This window comes from Homo sapiens, chromosome Y (assembly GCF_000001405.40).
Source record: "Homo sapiens chromosome Y, GRCh38.p14 Primary Assembly".
Classification (NCBI taxonomy): Eukaryota; Metazoa; Chordata; class Mammalia; order Primates; family Hominidae; genus Homo; species Homo sapiens.
The window spans coordinates 18,022,012-18,033,018 of NC_000024.10; the positions used below are offsets into that span (position 1 = coordinate 18,022,012).

General features: G+C 41.0%; 1 protein-coding gene and 1 pseudogene across 1 annotated transcript; both read left to right on the plus strand.

The window, feature by feature from the left end:
• Positions 288-1,906, plus strand: CDY8P (chromodomain Y-linked 8 pseudogene; annotated as a pseudogene).
• CDY2A (chromodomain Y-linked 2A) lies at positions 3,776-5,735 on the plus strand. Its single transcript, NM_004825.2, has one exon. The coding sequence runs from the start codon at positions 4,104-4,106 to the stop codon at positions 5,727-5,729; it is 1,626 nt and encodes a 541-aa protein (NP_004816.1). The 5' UTR covers positions 3,776-4,103; the 3' UTR covers positions 5,730-5,735.

Below are 11,007 nucleotides of genomic sequence, written 5' to 3' on the forward strand. Positions count from 1 at the left end.
TAAGAGATGTGGATTTAGCTACTCTCACTTGAGGCTACTAAGCCAGCTATCATGCACCATGAGACAAAGCCCAAGCTGTCCCACCAGGGCATAATTGTGGAGAGCCTAAAGCCCATAGCATAGCTGCTATTTCAAACAATTTTCACTACGTCAGTGGTGATGAAATAGAATAGGCTCATCCATACGCAGAACCTGGTAAAGAACTGGAGGCAGAAAGAAGTGGCTATGTGGAGACGCAAATGGAAAAAATTTGGCACAGCAATGGCTCCAATCCTGTGTCTTTCTTCCTGGCTTTCCAGGAGTTTGAGGTTGAAACTATTGTTGACAAAAGATGAGACAAAAATGGAAAGACAGAGGCCAGGCACAGTGGCTCATGCCTGTAATCCCAGCACTTTGCAAGGCTGAGGCGGGCAGATTACGAGTTCAGGAGATGGAGACCATTCTGGCTAATACAGTGAAAACCTCTTTCTACTAAAAATCATAAAGTTAGCCAGGCGTGGTGGCAGGCCCCTGTAATCTCAGCTACCCGGGAGGCTGAGGCAGGAGAATCGCATGAACCCAGGAGGTGGAGGTTGCAGTGAGCCGAGATTGTGCAATTGTGCCACTGTACTCCTGCCTGGGTGATAGCTCAAGACTTTGTCTAAAAAAAAAAACAAAACAAAACAACAACAACAACAACAAAAATTTTTGGTGTTGCAAAGGTTAAGAAGAAACGGTATGACACTTGGGAACCAGAGCAGCACCGGTCAAAAATATATATATTACTTTAACAGATGACAGACTGAAAAACAGAAAAAGTAAAAAAGTGGCATGGACCAGAACAACTAGAACTTTTTCAAACAATACCAGAAGATGAACTTCTACATCTACCAAGCCCAACTTTTCTAAGAATACTCCTAAAACGCTAGTGTCTGGCCAACACCACAAATTCAAAAGCAGCCAGTTATGTTCTGCCAGCCAGAATGTTAGCAGTAATCCAGGGTCACCTCTGTCCGACCCAAAGAATATGGAGCTACTGTGTTCAACTATCAAGAAAGACACTTGCCCCTTACAACCCTTTTAACAACAAGAACACAGTGAGTGGCATTCAGGAACTCTAGAATCTGGACCCTATTGCAGCAGATCAGCAGGATACAGTGGTCTTCAAGGAGGAGGAAGGGAAGATCATCAGGGCTTTATCAGATCCCAGGGCAGGACATTGTGGAATAGAGAGCAAGACCCAGATTCAACCACTATTTTCTCAGAGGTCTGGCTCAGTTACGGCTTCCATGGCTGCAGACTCAGCTACCAAAAAAGGTATAGTGGTATTAATGGGCCAATCGGCAGCCAATGGAAAAACAGATGTGCATACATTAGTTGCAAGAGTGAAAGTTGGGCAAAGAAATGTTACTGACGGTGGCAGAGACCAGCTTTTTATCCAGAAGATGTACCTCATCATAGGCCTAGCAGAAAGTGCCAGCACATACAGAGATATTGCAGTGAAGAAAGAGGACAGATTCACCCAGATGTGCCTATAAACTAGATCAACATAAAAAATGTACTGAATATAGAAGTAATTAAAGCAATGGTTAATGCTCTGAATAGGGCTGCTGTGGGTGGCAGCAAGCTTGTGCTGTTCAGTGCAGCTGGAAGTGTCTTTTGCTGTGGTCTCGATTTGGGGTACTTTCTGAAGTATTTAAGGAAGGACAGAAACAGAACAAGCCTTGAGATGGTGAACACCATCAAGAACTTTGTGAATACTTTCAATCAATTTTAAAAGCCTGTTTTTGTATCAGTCAGTGGCCCATCCTTTGGAATAGGTGCATCCACACTGCCTCTTTGTGATTTCTTCTGAGCTAATGAAAAGCCTTGGTTTCAAACCCCTTATATGACATCTGGACAGAGTCCAGATGGCTGTTGTGTTACTTTAGTTCCTACTTGAACTTTGCATCATCCAGCCTCCTTAATTATTGTGGCCATGAGACATTACTTCATCCCTTGATTGATCCCAGGCCAAGGTCTCAGGCCAAGCTGTCACTTCAGCTCCTTCTTGGTCCAGGGCCAAGTTCCAAGGCTGAGCCTTGTAGCTTCTACAAATCATCACTTCAGCTCCAGATGAATCCAAGGCCAAGTTTCAGGGCCAAGCCAAATAACGCCTACTCCAAGAACACTAAGCACATTTCTTTACTTCTCTGCCCTTAGAAACCGTAAAGCACAGCCTCATAGTAGGTAAACCACTCACATTTCACCCCTCACTGTGAAGAGTTTTTTACTTTCACTTATAAAAGTTTTGATTCAACCTTTTTGCATCCATCCTCCTGAATTTTCTTGGCCATGAGACAAAGAACTCTGTGTGATACCTCACAATTAGAGATTTCTAGATCGTAGTGCACTAATGAGACTGCAATGATTGAAGTCTGGGAATTGAGCTCTGGGACGCATCAGCCTTGCGAGACCAACTGACACACTGTCCCCACACTGTGATACACACCCTTGGGGTCAGTCAACCATATAGTGGTCACCAATGGAGTCTGAAAAGGGGCAAGGCAGATTTATACAGCCTAGAAACCTGAGGGACACCATCAAGCAGCCATACATACGCATTTTGGAAGTTCCAAGGAAGAGACAAAAAATCATGGATACTATTTAACAACATAGTCATAAAGAATGCAACAATTTAAGACAATAAGTAAGCACCCAAGGAGCTCAACAGACTCCAAGTAACAAAAACTCAAAGAAACAAACTCAAACTTACCTGATAATTAAACTGTCTAAAATAAATACAAAGAGAATCTTGAGGATTTTCAAGGGAAGCAGGGGAAGTAGCTAGTCATGTAAAAGGGACCCTAAAAATAACCAGTGGATCGCTTATCTGAATAACCACTGAAAAGCAGTAGATTTCTTATCTGAAAACTAAAACGATGGAAAGCAGTAGCCTAATATATTGCAAGTGATGTCAGAAAAAACTGTCAAGCCTAAACATTATGATCCACCAAACTGTCCATCAAAGGTGAGGGACAAATTATGACATTCCCATATACAAACTGGCACCTTTTACAAGTAGACTACCCTTTAAGAAATGTCTTATGGAGTACTTCAGGGTAGAATGGACAGACACTCAAAAGCAGTATGAACAAGCAAAGATTAAGGTAAAGATAAATACATGAACAAATATGTAAGATAAAAAATTTGGCCGGGCGCAGTGGCTCACGCCTGTAATCCCAGCATTTTGGGAGGCTGAGGTGCGTGGATCACGAGGTCAGGAGATCGAGACACTCCTGGCTAACACGGTGAAACCCCGTCTCTACTAAAAATACAAAAAAAAATTCGCCGGGCCAGGTGGCAGGTGCCTGTAGTCTCAGCTACTCGGGAGGCTGAGACAGGAGAATGGCGTGAATCCGGGAGGCGGAGCTTGTAGTGAGCCAAGATCGCACCACTGCACTCCAGCCTCGTTGACAGGGCGAGACTCCATCTCAAAACAAAACAAAACAGAACAAAACAAAACAAAACAAAACGAACAATTAACAATGTGCACCTCCACAATTTGTTCTCCACACAACTTAAAACACAAATATATTTAATAAAAAAACTACCACTAATTTGTGTTTTTGACATAAAATCAATAAAGGTATAATTTTGAGAACTCAGTAAGTGAAATAATGGAGGTACATTATACAGGAGTAAAGGCTTTGTATGTTACTGAAGGTAAGCTAGTGTAACTTTAAAAATGTTATAACATTAGAATGTTCCATATAATCGTCATAGCAACCACAATTAAACAAAGAAACACAAAAGAGTAACAGGCAGGAAGAAAGCTTTCTGTACTACACCAGAGGGTTGGGGCTGTGGATTTAGCTACTCTCACCTGAGGCTACTGAGCAAGCTGTCATGCACCATGAGACAAAGCCCAAGCTGTCCCACCAGGCAGTAAGTGTGGAGAGGTTCAGGCACATGGCATAGCTGCTATTTCGCACAATTTTCACTACACCAGTGGTGACCAAATAGAAGAGGTTCATCCATACACAGAACCTGGTGAAGAGCTGGAGGCAGAAAGAAGTGTCTATGTGGAGACGCAACTGAAACAAAGGTGGCACAGCAACTGTTCCAATCCCGTGTCTTTCCTCATGGCTTCCCAGGAGTTTGAGGTTGAAGCTATTGTTGACAAAAGACAGGATAAAAATGGGAATACACAGTATTTGGTTCGGTGGAAAGGTTATGACAAACAGGATGACACTTGGGAACCAGAGCAGCACCTCATGAACTGTGAAAAATGTGTACATGATTTTAATAGACGACAGACTGAAAAACAGAAAAAACTGACATGGACTACAACCAGTAGAATTTTTTCAAACAATGCCAGAAGAAGAACTTCCAGATCTACAAAAGCAAACTATTCTAAGAACTCTCCTAAAACTCCAGTGACTGATAAACACCACAGGTCCAAAAACTGCAAGTTATTTGCTGCCAGCAAGAACGTTAGGAGAAAGGCAGCTTCAACTCTCTCCGACACAAAGAATATGGAGATAATAAATTCAACTATTGAGACCCTTGCACCTGACAGCCCCTTTGACCACAAGAAAACTGTGAGTGGCTTTCAGAAACTTGAGAAACTGGACCCTATTGCAGCAGATCAGCAGGACACGGTGGTCTTCAAGGTGACAGAAGGGAAACTCCTCCGGGACCCTTTGTCACATCCTGGTGCAGAACAGACTGGAATACAGAACAAGACTCAGATGCACCCACTAATGTCGCAGATGTCTGGCTCAGTTACTGCTTCTATGGCCACAGGTTCAGCTACCCGAAAGGGTATAGTGGTATTAATAGACCCATTAGCAGCCAATGGGACAACAGACATGCATACCTCAGTTCCAAGAGTGAAAGGTGGGCAAAGAAATATTACTGATGACAGCAGAGGCCAGCCTTTTATCAAGAAGATGCACTTCACCATAAGGCTAACAGAAAGTGCCATCACATACAGAGACATTGTAGTGAAGAAAGAGGATGGATTCACCCAGATAGTGCTATCAACTAGATCGACAGAAAAAAATGCACTGAATACAGAAGTAATTAAAGAAATGGTTAATGCTCTGAATAGCGCTGCTGCAGATGACAGCAAGCTCGTGCTGTTCAGTGCAGCTGGAAGTGTCTTTTGCTGCGGTCTTGATTTTGGGTACTTTGTGAGGCACTTAAGGAATGACAGAAACACAGCAAGCCTTGAAATGGTGGACACCATCAAGAACTTTGTGAATACTTTTATTCAATTTAAAAAGCCTATTGTTGTATCAGTCAATGGCCCTGCCATTGGACTAGGTGCATCCATCCTGCCTCTTTGTGATCTCGTGTGGGCTAATGAAAAGGCTTGGTTCCAAACCCCTTATACGACCTTTGGACAGAGTCCAGATGGCTGTTCTTCTATTACATTCCCCAAAATGATGGGTAAAGCATCTGCCAATGAAATGTTAATTGCTGGGCGAAAGCTGACAGCACGGGAGGCATGCGCCAAAGGCCTGGTCTCTCAGGTATTTTTGACTGGAACTTTCACCCAAGAGGTTATGATTCAAATTAAGGAGCTTGCCTCATACAATGCAATTGTACTGGAAGAATGTAAGGCCCTCGTTCGCTGTAATATTAAGTTGGAGTTGGAACAGGCCAATGAGAGAGAGTGTGAGGTGCTGAGGAAGATCTGGAGCTCAGCCCAAGGGATAGAATCCATGTTAAAGTATGTTGAAAATAAAATTGATGAGTTTTAATTGTCAGTCTGTCTGCTCAGGACACAAGAACTAAGGGGCAACAAATGCATCATGAGTTGCAAGATGCCCTAATCCATCTTCATAGCCCAAAACAATTTCACCCATAGCTAAGGCTTGGAAACAGAACTGCAAATGTCCAAGCTATGTATTTAAATTATCACATCATTTTTAAGCACTGTAGCTTTACAAGGAGTAACAAAACAGCCTCTTTGCCCAAATGTGATTATTTTAGGCACACCTAAGCCCAAATATAAAAACAGACTGTTGGGTACTAGACTCTTCTTGCAAGCTCTAATATGTATCTATGGCTACTACTATATATAAGACCAGAGTTGTGTTTTATTAGATGTTTATGACAGAGAATCCTGTAATAATGTTGATTTTTTCTTACTTTTATATCCTAGAATACCTCTATTGGGATATAAAGCAGCCTTAGCTTCCCTCCCAGAAAGACACAGAACGATCAGAGATGGTGCCCTTGACTTTATAGTGGCACAAACACTTCAGAGACACACAATTATAAGAGACTTATCTTTTAGCATAAATACTTATGGCACAAAATCCACTGACGATCATTCTCCTAAACTGAACACATGACTAGAATTGGTGGTGAGATATCGCTTGATTTTCTTTTCCTTTATAAATGTCTAGTTCTTACCCAGTTAACAAAAGAAAACTTTATCGCTCTAAAGTAAAACTTGTTACACCACATTAGTGAATTATGGAATCATTTTGGTGGAAATATCCAGGTTCTAATGTGTGGAATGTGCAGATTTAGGTTACTTTAGTGTATGTTCTAGTTAATAAGTTAAAATTCTGGACACATTATTAAAGGCAGAAACTTCTTTCAAAACAAACACCCCTACACTCTGTATGACCTTTACAATTATCAGTGTCTCTTTTTATGAGCACACAATTTTCTAGAACACTGTATGTGCTCAGTTATGCAAAAGCTCTATGAATCCTGTCTTGTTGGTTTTTATCGAGGCTCCATTACATAGGCATAATTGAATAATCCACTGGCCACTGGTGATGAATGTCATCTTTGTCACAAGATCTCTAGTGTGTCACTTCACCAGCCAAGAACCTCTCTGGATGATGGCACCTTTGTGCAAGGTTCCCTTGAGCCTGCTTTTCTAATTTTACAAACCCATCTTACAGGCTGCACTCAGCTCAAACTATGGGCTTAGGTTTCATTTTGCTATGGATGCACCAGGCACAGACTGGAGGCAGATACATGAGTGAGTGTTGGTTCAGTCCAGCCACTGCACACAGCTTTGCCTGTTATCTGTGATGAGGTAAGCAGGTCAGGTGCTGGTACAGGTGACAGCTCCCTGAAAACCTTTAGGTGAATCAGGCATACCACAAGCTTTCTCTTCTGCAGGCACTGAAGAATGCAGTGGCATCCACAAAAGAAGAAATGCCAGAGAATGCAAAGACCCAAGGACGTCATCCTAGCCCTGGCATGGGAAAGGTTTAGAGCTGGGGTATCTAAAGGGCCAATGTCCTGCTTTCTTTTTCCTTTTTTCTTTTTTTTTTTTCTTATCTATGGGATCACTATGACTTAAATTAGGGTTTTCAAAGGGCTCTGTCTCTCTTTCTACTGGAAATTAGCATCTTGTCTTTTCTTCACTCTTTCTCTCTTTGACTGCTTTTTATTTACTATGACATGCTATAGAAGAAATGCATCTTGGCCCAGCATCTTTCTGTTGACTGTAGGGCTATTTGTCAGAAGCAGTAAGATTTTGGCTCAGCAATAAGGTAACATCTTCCCATTTAAGACCAAAAAAAGGGCTAGATATTAGAAAGGCTCTATATATTTATTGATGTATCAGAAAACTTCCCCAGGTCTTACTTTATTTGTTTAAGGTACTGTAATGAAAAAGAAACTTGCACTTTACTGGCACCTCATTCATTGGGCATTTCCTATAGGGGTAGTAAGGAACGTGGAGGGTTGGATGTAAAAACTGGAAAAGCTGATGATGATGTGACTAAAAGATTCTCTGCATCAAGAAGATGAGAAAACCTGTGGTAACAAATGTGGTTTTGAGTGTTTCCAGGGAGAATGTTTCTCTGACGTTTGGGAGTTGTTTCTTGTGGGCTTTTCTGATATGACTGCTAAGAAAGCAGGAACAATTTTACAGTATTTACAAAGATGTGGGTGGTTTCACAGGGCAAAAAGCCTTGCACATAGGAAACTTCAAACAATGTGCCTTTGACTCTCAGAAACTATCTAGGTCTTCAATAGTATTGACAAAGAAAAGCTACATAGTTGTGGTGGATTATTGGTAAAATTTCTGCAAGCAGAGAAACAGCCTGAAATATCAGGCTGCAGACACAAATTTAAGAATCCTGCACAATCCTGTGGCCCAAGCAAATAATTTTTTTTTAAAAAAAGCCCAACTTTTTGTGTGTGTGTGCTTAAGACATGCCCACAGCTACTCAGATTAAAAAAAAAAAAAAACAAACAAGACCCCGCATTAAAATGTTGTGTCTTTTGTGTAACCAGAGTGCTTCCAGGAAATAGTCTCTCTCTTTTTTAGAACTTGTACATATTGGACTCCAATGTGTTACAAAGGGTACCTTATATTACTAAACATACTTCAGACTCCGAGCCAAATTTCTGTAAATTATCATTTAAGACTCTGGTCCCAGGCCAAGGTCCTGGGCCATGCTTTCCCTTTAGCTCTTGTGTGGCTCAGGGCCAAGTTCCTGAGCCAAGCTGAGTCATTACATCCGCCATTAATAGTTCCAGGCACAAGGACCCAGAAAAGATGAGAAGTGCTTTCTTCAAAACTAGTTAGTACCTTTTCTTCCTTCTGAGTCCATAAAAATATCAGACTCTTTCTCAAAGTGGGCAACTGACTCTACTCCACCAGAAGTTAACATGTTAAACATTTACTATCATCTCACCTTTTGCATTCCTAATTTTTAATTTTCTTGAGATTAAAAAGATCTGTGTGTCACCTAAAAATGAGAGACTGATACATTGTGGTTCACTGGGGGACAGCAAAGTTTGTTTTTGGTTCATGGACTTGGAAAGGCCTTAATTAAAAAGGTCAGTAGGGGCTGGGCATGGTGGCTCATGACTGTTATCACAGCACTTTGGGTGGCCAATGTGGGAAGATCAGGAGGAGATCAAGATGGAGATCATCCTGGCTAACATGGTGAAGCCCTCATGAAGTCTACCAAAAATACAAAATATTAGCAGGGTGTGGTGGTGGGCAGCTTTAGTGACAGCTGCTTGGTAGGCTAAGGCAGGAGAATGGCATAAACCCGGGAAATGGAGCTTGCAGTTAGCCAAGATCATGCAACTGGACTCCAGTTTAAGTGACAGAGAATCCATTAGAAAAAAAAAGGGAGTAGGGGTGCCATTCCAAACTATTTACATTCATATCTTCAGCTTGTCCTCTATTTGCTTTCATATCTGCAGCTTGTTCTCAGTTTTTGTTTGTTTGTTTTTGTTATTTGTTTTTTTCTTTTTTTTTAATTTCTGAAGAGCAAACAAAGCTCTGGGCCAGTGCCAGGTAAAATCCGATGGATTGCCTGCCATTCTTACAAAGCTTAGGAGAAAGGGATGCTGGGAGACACATTGGCAGTCTCCTTTCACCCTCCGCTGTTGAAAATGTTGCCTCTGTTCCAACTGTTTTCTTTCAGAGAGGATCCAGCTGTCACATAGGACTGAAAGGATATCTAAGTTAATTGAAGATTTCTGGTTAAGGCTATACCACGGTGTTACGTGAAGGCCTCAAAACTAACTCCAGTTTCTGACAGCCCATCAGAGTGTTGCCACCAAAAATTCCAGGCTTTTCTGTGGCATTTTATTTATTTGTTTTTTGTCATTGTGTGGCTAATGTCCCTCCTATTTCTTCTTTGTATGCAATGTTGAGACCTGGAGATACAAGCTTACTGGTAAAAGTCAGTCAGTAGAAATATAACTCAAAGAGTTGCTATTTTGTGTTTTTTTTTTTTCTTTCAAAAGAGGAAGAATTCAAAATTGTGGTCTAAAAATTTTTATTGGATAAGGGTCTTTTTGTCCGCCGATGATAGACATTCATGACACTGTTGGGAATGACATACATTCCAATAAATTTTCCCTGTTTGGCGGGTGACTTCTCTTTAAAAAGCTCAGCACAGCCATATATATCTAAACAGTTTCTTTGTGAGACACATCTTCTTTTTTCTGCAGAGACACATACTGTGGGGACAGGCGATAGAGCGTTAACCTTCCTTTTCTAAGTTTTGACTATATAAACCTGGAATTCAGCATTTTCATGGAATATCTGAGATCTTAAAATGCAACCTAGTAAAATGAGGTTTTTCTCTTGGGGAAGGCTTGTCAGTACTTTGCACAAAACCCTTGGATTTTAATTCCTCTCTCTGTTATATCTCTCTAACTCTGTGCCCTATCAGTAAACAGAAAATTTCCACTTTCAATAATCAGAAAGAAGGTGTCTTTGAGAGACATATTTTAGCTAAGTGCTGTCTTATGAAAGCCAGCCATACAAGCTTTACTTGCTTTGAGGCACACCTTCTTCCTCCAGCAGCACTGACATTTAAACTAACGGAGAATTTTATGTTTCAACTCAATCTATCTTATTTCCTGCAATTTCAGTATTTTTTCTAGGCCATAGCAAGGGAAGCCACAAATAGTATTAAAATTCTTACTCTATACAAGTGTCTTGCTAGAATCCAATGACTATATAATCTTTTTTTTAGGCTCCCAAGTTACTCTGGGTATCTTCTGGGTTGAGTAGGCTTAAGAAATCAACAAAGAGTCACCAGTAGAGAGCTAAAGCCTCTGCAGGAAAATGTTACTTGTCCTGCTGTCTAGATCCTCTAGAACTGTGGGTGAAGGTTTAGCTTCCATCCATGGGGGACACCTATGTCAGTCACCAGACTCAGAAAAGACAAGAGGAATGCAAAAACAAGGAATATCCTATCTTTTTATTCAGTCAGGGCTATTTCAAAAGGGGGAAAAAGAGAATAGGAATTTTTTTTATATATTTCTTTAGAAACTTCACAAACTGTCTGCAGTACGCACCTCTCTAGATTACATTCTGAAACACAGAAATTTCACTGACTGTGAGACTCTGAAAAATGAAAGTGGCTTATTTATGTATTTATTGCTCAAGGGCATGACAGCCCTACCAGCTCCAGGACAGACATGCCTAGCTTTCTGAGGGAAGTGTTCGCTTTAGTACTATTCAACAGGTATATCTTTTCTTCAGATGGCAAAGAAAAGAGTATGATTTTTTTTTTCTTTTTTGGACAACCT